Source organism: Homo sapiens, chromosome 11, assembly GCF_000001405.40.
Source record: "Homo sapiens chromosome 11, GRCh38.p14 Primary Assembly".
Classification (NCBI taxonomy): Eukaryota; Metazoa; Chordata; class Mammalia; order Primates; family Hominidae; genus Homo; species Homo sapiens.
The window spans coordinates 75862462-75876257 of record NC_000011.10 but is presented as its reverse complement, the minus strand read 5'-3'; the positions used below and the strand labels follow the sequence as shown (position 1 = coordinate 75876257).

Here is a 13796-nt window from a genome sequence, read left to right as displayed (position 1 = left end):
GGGAGCCATCCATTTCTGATAATGACTGATGAGACAATCCTCTCACTGAAAACAACTAAAATGTCAGGTAAAATATTTTTTAAATAATAATAATAATCACCATTAACATCAAAGAATTTCCAAACCAAGGAAGAAAGAACCCAGAGAGGTAAGTGGAGATCTAGAGGTCTTTGTCGTGAAGCCATGACGGATCTATACAAAGCCGGGGCTTTGGTTTTCACATTCTTTTTCTTTTTTTCTTTTTGGGGTAGAGACAGGGTCTCACCATGTTGCCCACACTGGTCTCTAAGTCATGGGCTCAAGCAATGCTCCCACCTCAGCGTCCCAAAGTGCTAGGATTACAGGGGTAAGCCACTGCACGTGGCCAGTTTTGGCATTCTTAAAGGAAGCAAGGACATAATTCAAGAGCCAGGCCCAGGTCCCATCCATGACTAAAAAATGTCCCTCTCCACACTGAGGACCACAAAAGGGCTATACCCCTAAACAGCATAAGTGAAACTAAACTAAATCCACCAAATCCCTACACACAGATGTCTGTAGGGAAAGTTGCCATGACAGATGAGAGGAGAACCTTCCTTGGAAGAAGAAATTACACAGAATGCAGCAGAGATAAAAAGACCAATATGAAAAAAAAAAAAAAGGTTTAAAAACATGGATGACAGAGTAAAAAGATCTGATACGCATTTAGCAAGCAGTCCAGAGAGAGAAAATGGATTAAGGAAGGAGGCAAGGAATTATTTAAAGAGATAAGTAGCAATTTCCTAGACTGATTAAAAAAAAAAAAAAACTAATTCACAGGTTTAAATACGTAACAGGTCCTAAGCAAGATAAATAAAACCATATCAGAACACATAAAACCAAGTAACTGACAACCAAGAAATCCACCCAATGAAAATACTCTTCACAAATCAGAGTAAAATGAATACATTTTCAGACAAAAAAACTTGGGAGTGTGACACTAACATATGCTCACTAAAGAAAATCCTAAAGGATGCACTTTAGGCAAAGTGAACTCAGAACATTTTTGCTGCAAGAATGAATGAATAGCAAATAAATGGTACCTATAAGAGTAAATCTAAAGAAGGGGTATGATGTCTGACATGATAAAATGAGTAGCTCAGCAAATTTTTCCCCCAAAAAGCAACAGTAAAACTGGACAAAATTCACAATCCACTGGCAGAAGTTACTGGCTTGAGGTATCTAAGCATAAAGTCACGAATCACTGGGTGACCACTAAGCTATGCAGACATAGGAGTAATCACTAGAAACGTGGATGGGCTTGGGAACAGCAGCAGACCGTCACCCAAACAGAACCACTGGCTTGTGGAATGGCTTTAAAGAATCACGTAGCTTCAGCCTTTCCTCTGAAAAATGAAGAGAGCTGACAGGCAGAGTGGTAGAGAGGAAAGTGCTATAATGAAGCCACGTTGTTGAACTGCATAATTCCCTGTGTCTCAGAATCTTCAGTTATAAAACTATCACCTCACAGGGTTTTTATGAAGCTTGAACAGAATAGTAATAAAAAACTAATTACAGCAATAGCTACTATTTTAATACTTACTAGTGACAGTCACTATATAAAGTATTAATAATAGATAAAAAGGGCATAGAGAATGCTTATTCTAGCACATACAAATATTTAATCTGCTGAATAAGCCTTGTTAATCCTAACAATAAATCCACATGAAGTAAATAAGACAATTTGTTAATTCTAATAGTTAAGACGAAATACCATATTTCATCAAATCCAAGACATCACCAATCATAAAATGCATCATAATTGTATATACAACCAAAAAGAACTGGTTTTAAGATGCATCTAGATTGTGCAGGAATGTTAAATTGTGAAAAATTAAAAATCAATAAAACACAGAAACTGAGTCTTCTTGCCTAAGGTCACTTAGTAAAAACAGTATCAGAATTTGAATCTAGTTCTCTAGAATTTGTCTCATGTTCATTTTGTGTGTGTGTGTTGTTGTTTTTTTTTTCTCTTTCTACCAAATTACAAAAGACAGAATTTAGAACAAAGGCGGGCTAAAGAGAATGTCAACAATTTCCTTATTTTATATCTCACAGCCAGAGGCAGAAAAGGAAGAAAGAACTCTGCCCTCTGCCTATGCCCTATTCTCTGAGAGAAAGAACTGGGGAGACTCCACAGGTCTCACACTTGCTCTTGCTGCTCCATCACCAGACTCTACAGCTGACTAGAGCTGAGACAAAACAAACGACTAAACATAATAGCAAAGCCTAGACCACTACTACAAGAATGAAGCATTCATTACAGATTAGCTAAGAAGGAACTGGCCCTTCACTGGTTCACCCAACTGTCCACCGAGGACGCTGAGAAAACTGTAGCTAGGAATGCTGGGGAAAAGCCTTCTAGCCTGCAGCCTGAGGATGTGCCTGCTCCCCTGGAACTGAGTACCCTTCACCAACTCTACCTTACATGAGTAATGGCAATCATTTGTGAGCCATTTACTACATGCTGAGCACTATACCGGATTTAATTTAACATGAACTACAGGACAAACAAGCAAGCTGCGTACAACATAGAAAGAGACAAAATGAGGGCTTCCTCTAGCTTACATATGCTAGGAATGAAAGCAATAAAAGGGACCTTTGAATTTGCCTAGTCCACCTCAAGTTCTGAAATGAGGAAGCTGAGAGCCTCTGGTGGGACCCCCTCCCTGCCTCTACCCCCACCCATTCTTTTCCTGGTTAACGTTTCTCTGACCACTAGGTTTCAGTTCAAACATCTCTTCCTCAGAAGCCTTCCCAATTCTCTTTAACTGTCAGCCTTCTCTGCCTGCCACCGACTGCGAGGATGGGGCTTTTTTTGCTATTGTTTTCCCAAGTAGATAATACAGTAACCTGGAGACAAAGTAAGTATTCAAATATTTGCAGAATTAAAAAAAAAAAACTATTCCTGGCACTTTGCTGCAACAAGACCTAATCACTTTGGGGTCAAAAATATTAAATTTAAGGCCAAGACCAGAAAGCATAGCTTAAGATTCATTTGGAAAAAGTGATTCGCTTTCTCACCTAATATGAATCATGCTTTATAAATAGAGAATAAAAACCATTTTACTCATTTTTACTACTGGTATAATTATTACAAGAAAGGGGGAACAATGAAAGCTGTGTGTTCACTGATGTCCATGGGGCTGGCTGCCGCTCCTCTATGCTCCCATAGGAACCTGTGAGTGGTTAACTTTCTTACGGCACCTGGCATGACACATCACCATCACTGATTTTTTTGCCTGTCTTCCCCTCCAGAACGTGAGCTCCTCAAAGGCAGGGATTTCTACTAGCGTATTTATCCTCTACAATATCCAGCACCATTACCAAAGGTTCAGTGTGCCAGGTACTATACTACTAATTTGACTATATATTCTTACTTAATCTTCATGAAACTCAAGAGTCCTGTGAAACAGACAGCACTATCCCAATTTTTCAGGAGAAGCTGATGCTAAGAATTATTAAGTCACTTGTCTAACGTCATATGGTTGGTTATATCTGGAACAGGAAGACAAAGTCAATATCTGACACTGACTCTAAAATCATGCCAGCAGGCCGGGAGTGGTGGCTCACACCTGTAATCCCAGCACTTTGGGAGGCTGAGGCAGGCAGATCACAAGGTCAGGAGATTGAGACCAGCCTGGCCAATATGGTGAAACCCCACCTCTACTAAAAAATACAAAAATTAGCCGGGCGTGGTGGGGCGCGCCTGTATCTCAGCTACTCAGGAGGCTGAGGCAGGAGAATCGCTTGAACCTGGGAGGCAGAGGTTGCAGGGAGCCGAGATCGCACTACTGCACTCTAGCCTGGGCGACAGAGTGAGCCTCCGTCTAAAAAAAAAAAAAAAAGGCAGCATTAGATCACTTTTGTATACGAGGAAGGCCATGTTGTGGGGACTGTCTAAAGTAAGAATAATGGAGCCTTATGTCCCAGGCAGCCCCTGAAGTTCGAATATAATATAATCATTAATGTTCCTCATGATAACCTTGACTTGTTGAGAAAAGGTTGAATAATCTTCCCCTATTTAAGAAAGGGGAGAGGAAGGAAATCCATTAAAAGGTAATATGGATATGAAAAACTCAAATGGTAATATTTTACTAAACTGGAATTCAACAGACCACCAACTCCACTTATCCTTGAACAGTCAAAAAGAAGATGAAAAAGAGCTTGTTAACTATCAAGTTAGATCAAATATATCCCATCAATTTTTTTAAAAAGACTCCAATACTTGTTCGGGATTTGTTTATTCCTAATTGGCATTAACTGGTATGATTTTCCAGAACAAGTGCTCCACAACATAAATATCATAATACCATATTAAACTAAACTAAAACCACAACATAATACCATAATCCCACCAGAATGGCTAAAACTTGAAAGATAGATAATACCAAGTTTGGGCAAGGATAGAGCAACTAAAAATCTCACACTGCTGGTAAGATGTAACTGGTACAAATGCTTGGGAAAATTATTTGGCAATATCTACTAAAGCTGAACATAACCTACAACCCAGCACTTAATTCCACTTCTAAGTACCTACCTCAGAGAAAGGCACACATATGTTCAGCAAAGGATATGTTCATTAGAATTAGTGAACTACTATATACAACATGAACGAATCTCACAAATATTATGCTGAGCAAAAGAGCAGATGCAGTCCGGGCGCGGTGGCTCGTGCCTGTAATCCGAGCACTTTGGGAGGCCAAGGTGGGCGGATCACTTGAGATCAGGAGTTCGAGACCAATCTGGCCAACATGGTGAAACCCTGTCTCTACTAAAAATACAAAAAAAAATTAGCCTGGTATGGTGGTGCACACTTCACCTACTTGGGAGGCTGAGGTGGGATAATCACTTGAACCTGGGAGGCAGAGGTTGCAGTGAGCCAAGATCCCACCATTGCACTCCAGCCTGGGCAACAAGAGCGAGACTCTGCCTCAAAAAAAAAAAAAAAAAAAAAGGGCATATGCCATGTAAAAGTTCATAACCAGGCAGAACTAAGCTATGGTGTTAGAAGTCAGAAGAGAGGTTCTCTCTGGGAAAAGGTAGTGACTGAAAAGCAAGAGATAGGCCGGGCGCAGGGGCGCATGCTTGTAATCCCAGCACTTTGGGAGGCCGAGGTGGGCGAATCACCTGAGGTCTGGGGTTCGTGACCAGCCTGACTAACATGTTATGATGAAACCCCATCTCTACTAAATATAAAAAAATAGCCAGGCATGGTGGCACATGCCTGTAATCTGAGCTACTTGGGAGGCTGAGACAGGAGAATCGCTTGTACCTTGGAGGCGGAGGTTGCAGTGAGCCGGGATCGCGCCATTGCACTCCAGCCTGGGCAACAAGAGTGAAACTCCGTATCAAAAAAAAAAATAAAATAAAGCAAAGAAAAGCAAAAGATGATCGTGTTTCATTGATCAGTTCCTTTTGAAAAGTCATAAGGCTATTATTTGTGCATTTACTAGATGTGTACAATATCTCAATAAAAAGTAATTAAACTATTTTTTTTAAAGATCCAACAAGGGAAAAAACAACAGGTGCCCCACTGAAATAAATCAAATGAAGTCATCTCTTCCTGATGTATGTCCTAAAGCCTAAACCCTCCTGGTCTTCAAATTATACCACCCTAAAAGGTAGTCATTTACTCCCCTTTGTTTAAGACCACCTTTCAATAAGAGTAAATATATACTAAAATATGAAGTAGCATAATTTCCTATTACTATTAGAGTGATAAAGTATCAGAAAAAGCAGAAAATAATACCTCCTTTCAAAGTGAAAAAATGACACTTGGTGAATGTATCTGAAGGGGCATAATGCATGGCAAGGAAGAGGGATAGATACTCTTGGGGGTTGTTGTAGCAAATATTCTTAAATACTTCATTCAAAATCAAATGCCTCTGGAGGACAGGGAAGTTTTTTGAAGTTATTTCATGTGGTTGAATAGATGACCTGGGTGTTCTTTCTAAGCCAATACAACACTGATACAGTAGAGCTATTGTCAATCTTCTGATTACAAAGACTTTCCTTTATACTATTACAAAACAGTTGCCAGACAATGAGCAATAATTCCTAAGTTGGTACATTCAGATACAGGCAGATACAGCCTGCCACACATTCAAAGATTTTATAGCCTACTATTTTTACTATATAGACCCAGATGATTTTTTTATTTATATTTAACCTATACATACCCGCCCAATTTCTACATGGAACAAATTAATCAAGTACTAATATCATCCAGGGACCTGTACCACCACATTCACTGAAAAGTAGAATATCAGGATATTTATAAGCTCTGAAAAGTTCACTGTCTACCACACACCCACAAGAGGACATAAAACCATTATTTATTACTGTTGCTTGATAACAAATGTATGGTTACAAGAACACAACCAAGAACTCATAAAATGTGTTCTAACTTTCTGAAACCATACAACACATCTCACTGGAATAGCATACTGATTTTATCATTACTATTAACACAATAAACTCTCTTTCCCTGTCTCATTCACTTTTATTCAGACTTCCTATCTCAATTTAGAAATTACTAATTGTTAGAAACCTTTCCTAACTTCTCCCTCCAAACTAACATAAATAACACTTTTACATGTTTTCATGGCATCCTGTTCTTCCCTGGTACTACATATAATTCCATGTGTTGATTTGTTGATTATCTCTGTCTCCCTTCAAATCATGTAGTTAAACAGACAGAAGTTGGAAAACCTTGAAGATGATGCAGTTTAAAAGACAGTAACATAATCTGACATAAGCTACACACACACACACTCAATGTTAATTCATTCAATCATAATTCAACTGAAACATAAAGTTGGTTTGAGAATCACTCAGACCAGTAACTCATAAAAAGTATTTGTACTGTTTAGCCAGTTTTTTTCCCAAAGATTTAAAAACAGCTCCTCAGTCACAATCTCAACAGAACTTTATAGTTCTGATAAATTATGCCACATGCTTTCCCTAAAATGCATGCTCTAGAAATTGTTTATTCAATGATAAAGCCTATCAGTGACCTCTGTTAGCCCTCTAGCAGACTTAATCAGTGGAAGGAAGTGGGATATAAGGGAGGCTGCAAAACAGCAGGGCTCTGGAACACTGGTTTTACTAGTTATTAGCGGTGTGACCTAGATCAAGTTCCTCAGCCTGCTGAACCTGGTTCCTCAGCTGTAAAACAAGCATATCTCTTAGCTTGGAATGCTATTATCAGGATGAGAAATAATGTATATGACATGTCCAACATGCTACTTCAATCATAGGTGGGTACTTATAATTGATACCTCTTCTTCATTTAAAAAATCCAGGTACAGAGACATTTCAAAACACACACAAATTAGCTATCAGTATACTCCCACCATGAGATTTTTAATATTCTAATAAAAGTTTAAAACTTGTTTTTGGGAAAATAACCAATGAGTAGATTAACTTTGTAACTGTTAAAGGCAGATGTGGGTTTGCAATATAATTAATCTCTTTTATAAACATGAGAAACCAACTTCAGAGAATTTAGTCACTTATATTGTTATTGCTTCAATAATTTTACTTATTAACCCAATGACCTTTCAATAATATCAAGGATCTAACCTCTCCCTGAACACAAGAAGAGATGATATGGAGGGCACAGCTAGCTGAAGCCAGAGACCTTAACACTGAACTATACATTCACCATGAATTGTTCTATGCTAAATATATCATGGATAAGGTGAGGGTCCTGGTCCACCAGATGTGCCCCATTTTGCATTAATTGTAATGCTATGCCTTCCAAAATCTCATTCTCATGCTCCTTAGCCCTTGACCATCATCTCCTATTGCTCCAGGCCATTCCCTCTGCTGTCCTGATCCTCAATTCTCTTGCACCTGTCTCTCTGTCTTATGTGCCTAGCAACACCTCAAACCACCTCTGCTCACTGCACTCCAGCCTTACTAACTTCTTAGCCATTTCTTGAACACCTCAAGTACACTCCTGTCTTTCTACTTTCCTGTTTCTTGTCCCGTAACAGTATTCCTGAAATAGCTATATAGCTTGTTCCCTCACTTCTGTCAGGCGTCTGCTCAAGTGACATCTCCCATGTGACTGCTGCAGAAAAACTGCAATCTCCCCTGGCAGGTACTCCCTTATTCTGCTTCAGTCTACTCCATTCTATTTATTACCATCCAACATAGTCCCACTCACCAGTTCTAACGTGCGTATTTTTTCACATTGTAAGATGAATTCTGATTTTAGAAATAGTAAAATCAATAAAGTCCTACAATCTTTGACCACCAGGTGGCAGTCATCCAGTGTCATTGTATCTACACGCACACCCTTAAAAGTAGCCGTGTTTGATATTAAGTTAGGCACAATGTTAGCACTACATGTGCTGCTAAGTTTAATTGCCATTTAAAATATTTCTCTTGATTTATACTGAAACAAAAAATTTTGTAATATTTAACAATTTAAATTCAAAAGGTTTTTTAAAAATCAAGTGTTCACAACCATGTAAACAGAACTCTTGCAGACTGGGGGTGAGAGTATAAATCAAACAATAATTTTGGAAAACTATTTGGCAGCTTTAGCTGACCATATGCATATTCCTAGCAATTCCACTCCTAGATGTATACTCAACAGAAATACATCCATACATTTACCAAAAGACATATAGGAGAGTGTTTATAGCAGCACTATTTATGTTAGCTCAAAACTAGAACCTAACCAAATGCCTATCCACAGAAAAAATGAGTCAATTCTGTGATTTCACATAATGGAATATTATAGAGCAAACAAACCACAAATACGTCCCAAAAAATAAATGAATCTTACTACATAAAGTTGAAACATGGCAATCGGACACAAAAGAGTGCATACGATATTATTTCATTCATACAAAAGCAGGTAAAATTAACCTATGGTGTTAAAAGTCAGGAAAGTAACAGCGACTGGAGAGGGGAGGAGAGGGCTTTTTAAGAGCTGAAAATATTCTATTTGTTGATCTGGATGCTGGATATATGGGTGTATTCAGTTTGAGATAATTCATCATGCTGTATACTTATGAACTATAAACTCTTCTATAAATGCCAAACTTCAATAAAAAGTATTAAGATTTTGTGTAGGCAGAAAGCACAGAAACAGAGCAATGAGGCATGAATTTGGTATTAGAGAAGCAAATATCTGTCACTGGAGAAATGACTGCATCCAACCTCTTTAAAGGACTTAAGGAAGTAAATATTTTATTGCTAATAGGATTCCTTATCATAAGTCAAATAATGAAAAAAGGAAAGACTGCTAAATATCTTGGAATGGATTGAAGAAACTCCAAAGTAACAACAGGTTAGTAAAATTGAATCACAACTCATAAGACTATTGCTCAGGCCTTATGTTCAGTTTAATTAGAATGTTTAACTATTTTTTGTAAATGTAAAATAACAGTGAGTCTTACAGCCAGAAACTTAGATTTGGATACATACATATATGACATACTAAACATATTTTGTTTGTTTGCCAAGTCAAAGCAAATCACGATACAATGACTATGGAGATTAAAACATGAACCACATGAGGTCCCTGCTTTCTGAAGTTTATTATTACATACCAAAGAAGCTAAGACAACCATACAAAAAGCTATTATATGGATTTATAAATGAGACTAGTGGTATTAAAAAAAAAAGCACAAAGTTTTTTATTTAGTTTTTGTTGCTGTTGCTGTTGTTTTGAGATGGGTTCTCACTGTGTCGCCCAAGCTGGAGTGCAGTGGTGCAATCATAGTTCACCACAATCTCAAATTCCTGGGCTCAAGGGATCCCCCTGCCTCAGCCTCCCAGCTAGCAGGGAACTACACGTATGCACCACCATGCCCAGCTAATTATTTTATTTTATTTTATTTATTTATTTATTTATTTATTGTAGAGATGGGAGTCTCGTCATCTTGCCCAGGCTGATCTCAAGCTCCTGGGCTTACATGATCCTCCTGCCTCAGCCTCCTAAAGTACTGGGATATAGGTGTGAGCCACCACGCTCAGCTCGAAGTAATTTGTTTTTCCTTTGAGACAGGGTCTCACTCTGTCACCCAAGCTGGAGTGGCACAATCTTGGCTGACTGAAACCTCCGCCTCTGAGACTTAAGCAATCCTCTCGCCTCAACTTCCCGGGTAATTTTTGCATTTTTTGGTAGAGATGGGGTTTTGCCATGTTGCCCAGGCTGGTCTTGAACTCCTAGGCTCAAGCAATCCGCCCACCTTGGTCTCCCAAAGTGCTAAGATTATAGGCATGAGCCACTGCACCTGGGCCAAACTACTTTTAAAAAAACAAAAAGGTGAAATTTCTTCCTGTTAATGATTATAAGCCCTGGCCAGGCGTGGTGGCTCACGCCTGTAATCCCAGCACTTTGGGAAGCTGAGGTGGGCAGATCACCGGAGATCAGGAGTTCAACACCAGCCTGGCCAACATGGCGAAATCCTGTCTCTACTAAAAATACAAAAATTAGCCGGGCATGCTGGCGGGCACCTGTAGTCCCAGCTACTCAGGAGGCTGAAGCAAGAGAATCATTTGAACCCGGGAGGCGGAGGTTAAAATGAGCCGAGATCGTGCCACTGCACCCCAGCCTGGGCGACAAGAGCAAGACAACATCTCAAAAAAAAAAAAAGAAAGCTTTTCAGAAGCATCTAGAACTGTGCTGTCTAATATGATATCTACTAGCCTCATGTGGCTATTTAAATTAAAATTAAACAAAATTTAAAATTCAGTTCTGCAGTAGGACTGAACCACATTTCAAGTGCTCAATGGCCACATGTGGCCAGTGGCAACTGTACTGAACAATACGTAGAACATTACCATCATTGCAGAAAGTTTTATTGGACAGGTGATCTGGAGTATTCAAGAGTTAGAAAGAAGCACAGAATAAGGGCATAAGAACAGTTTATCTAATATTTGGGGGAAAACACTCTTTTTTATCTTTTTTTTTTTTTTTTTTTTTTGAGATGGAGTTTCACTCTTGTTGCCCAGGCTGGAGTGCAACAGCACGATCTCGGCTCACCGCAACCTCCGCCTCTCAGGTTCAAGCAATTCTCCTGCCTCAGCCTCCCGAGTAGCTGAGATTACAGGCATGTGCCACCACGCCCAGCTAATTTTATATTTTTAGTAGAGATGGGGATTCTCCATGTTGGTCAGGCTGGTCTCAAACTTCTGACCTCAGATGATCCGCCCGCCTCAGCCTCCCAAAGTGCTGGGATTACAGGCGTAGGCCACCACACTCGGCCTCTTTTTAATCTTGAGTCCATTTTTCCATGTCTCCTTTGACGTCAGAGTGATGAAACCAAGCCACTCTGGTCTAAGAACCAAGCTCAGAATATAAACAAGGAACAACATTCTGTATCTCAAAGTTACATGAGTGAAAAAGATACTTACAAGCTTATCAAAGTCCAACTTAGTTCACCAGAGTGAAAATTTACTCAAAGCCTTAATTAGAAATAAAGTATTCAAATCTTTGCCTAATCCTTTAGTATCTAATTGAAGATTTGCAGTTTCAGGATATAACTTCGAAGTTAATAAATATCCTTAGGGAAGAATTCATTTATTCAAGAAACATTTGCTGAGCGTCTTCTGTGTGCCAAGCACAATGGTAACAAATAAATACAAAAGCATTTAAACGACTAACTATTCAGCAAATATCACAATAGCTTAAAAATCGCAAAATCCTAAACAGGAAAGAAACCAACCAATTCTGCTGTTGACCTGGCAGTGCTTCTTCAGAGGCAGCAAGAAGGGCAGTAACAACGTGCCATCTCTGGCATATTCTCTGAGGGTTGTTGACTCCTGTACTGCCCAATGCCCATCAATCTGAACCAATCACAATGAATTAGCAAAAAGCTAAGAAAAAAGAGCTCCCTCAGAAAGAAAGAGTTAATTAGGCTGGGCACAGTGGCTCATGCCTGTAATCCCAGCACTTTGGGAGGCTGAGTTAGGCGGATTGCTTGAGGTCAGGAGTTCCAGGCCAGCCTGGGTAACATGGTGAAACCCTGTCTCTACAAAAAATACAAAAATTAGTCAGGCATGGTGGTTCATGCCTGTAGTCCCAGCTCCTTGGGAGGCTGAGGTAAGAGGATCGCCTCAGCTCACAAGGTGGAGGTTGCAGTGAGCTGAGATCATGCTACTGCACTCCAGCCTGGGTGATAGAGAGACCCTGTCTCAAAAAAAAAAAAAAAGTTAATAGAACCTTTATTAAGATATAAAAGAAAAAAAAAGAATCCTTGCCAAAATCTCAAAGAATACCTTTAAAAGGAACATCAAAAAATTAATATTTGTCAAACAACTACCCAATAGAAATACACTAGGAACTAAGGGGATATAAAGACATACAGTCTGTGACCTCCAGGAGATTTGATCTACTTTGTGAAACAGAATGTCCATGAAATCACAATGCAAGCAAACACTGTATGAGGTACATTCGGAAAACAATTATAGTATAAACTGTGAGTTGAAAGGGACCTACAAGTGTTTTAGTCCAATCCTCCCCCTTGTCTTGAATCCATTCTACAGTATTCTTTGGAGACAATATTCCACCTAAGTGCACAAAGGATGAAGGTATCATGACCTCACAGATAGCTCCAAAGCAATTGAAGATGGAGGCCAAAAGGAGTTGAAGATAGGAGTTAACATTCAGAGATCTTTAGAAATATGGATTTGGGAGCCAAGGGAAGATCTAATAAATCCAATACTAATAATGCAGAACAATACACTAAAGTGCCATTATGACATAGGGTCTATTATTATGACATAGGGTCTATTATAACACAAATCTGGGGGAAAAGCAATGGATATTAAAAAACCATCCCCAACATTTGACTATGGAAAAGAGAACAGAATAAATGAACACAAAATTCTGTTCTATCTTCCCCATAATCACTCCTAGCTCTTAACTGTCTGCAAACTATTTCTGTTTCCACCTGAGCAAGGAGAGGAGGAAAAACTAATATTTACTCAGTAACTATTATACATCAAGCATGATGCTAGGCACTTATTTTATATCATATAATATACGTAGAACCAGAGCTTTACTGGTGATGGGACCTCCCCAGAGATGGACTCAAGGAACTGTCTGGCCTAGAATCCAAATCTATTGATATTTTAGAGACATTTCAAAGACAGCTTGATGAAGAGGAAAGAGTAGAGACAAAGACAGAAGGTCTAGATTGGGGTTCTGGTCCTGCAGTCCTCTGACTCTGCAAAAGTTGTTGGAACTCTCTGGGTACCAGCTTCCTAAGATCTGCCCCATCTACTTTACAGGTTGTTCTAAGGATCAAAATGGGATAACATGTAAATACAACACATCATTGATAACCCTTTATTCATTTAACAAGTAGTTACTGAGCATCTATACTATTCTAGACTCCAGGGTAACAGGAGCAGCGAGATTGGCAGGGCCCGTGCTTTCATGGAACTTATGTTCTAGCAGGTGGGAGGCAGTTCATAAACACAAACAAGTAAGCAAGCAAGAGTTTCCAACAGTGATGAACACTTTAAAGAAAATAAAACAGGGTCATGAAAAAGCATGACTGGGGAAAGAGAACTGCTCTAGATGAGATAGCCATAGAAGGTCTTGCTGAAGTGACATAGCTGAGACCTTGAAGACCTCTTCAGTCAAGCGAACAGCTGAGGAAACAAGTGTTCTAGACATAAGGAACAAGATAAGCTTTGTGTGTTTGAAGCACTGAAAGAGGTACACCTGGAACACAATGAGTGCGGAAAAGAGGAGGAGATGAGGTGGAAAAGCAGACAAGGGCCAAATCCAAGATGGTACTGGA

At 39.3% G+C, this 13796-nt stretch overlaps 1 protein-coding gene across 9 annotated transcripts in view, besides 2 other annotated features; it reads right to left on the bottom strand.

Annotated features, from left to right (window-relative positions):
* UVRAG (UV radiation resistance associated) overlaps positions 1–13796 on the bottom strand; it is a 329023-nt gene that overhangs the window by 267975 nt on the left and 47252 nt on the right. The window lies entirely within an intron of this gene.
* Positions 2182–2683: an enhancer, noted in NCBI's record as "OCT4-NANOG hESC enhancer chr11:75584619-75585120 (GRCh37/hg19 assembly coordinates)". NCBI's record gives its function as "activates a minimal SCP1, AML or CMV promoter by ChIP-STARR-seq in naive H9 embryonic stem cells {active_cell/tissue: H9 hESC(naive)}" and the evidence as "EXISTENCE:reporter gene assay evidence [ECO:0000049][PMID:30033119]".
* Positions 8980–9274: a silencer, noted in NCBI's record as "tiled region #15578; HepG2 Repressive non-DNase unmatched - State 23:Low". NCBI's record gives its function as "represses a minimal TATA promoter and a strong SV40 promoter by Sharpr-MPRA in HepG2 cells {active_cell/tissue: HepG2}" and the evidence as "EXISTENCE:reporter gene assay evidence [ECO:0000049][PMID:27701403]".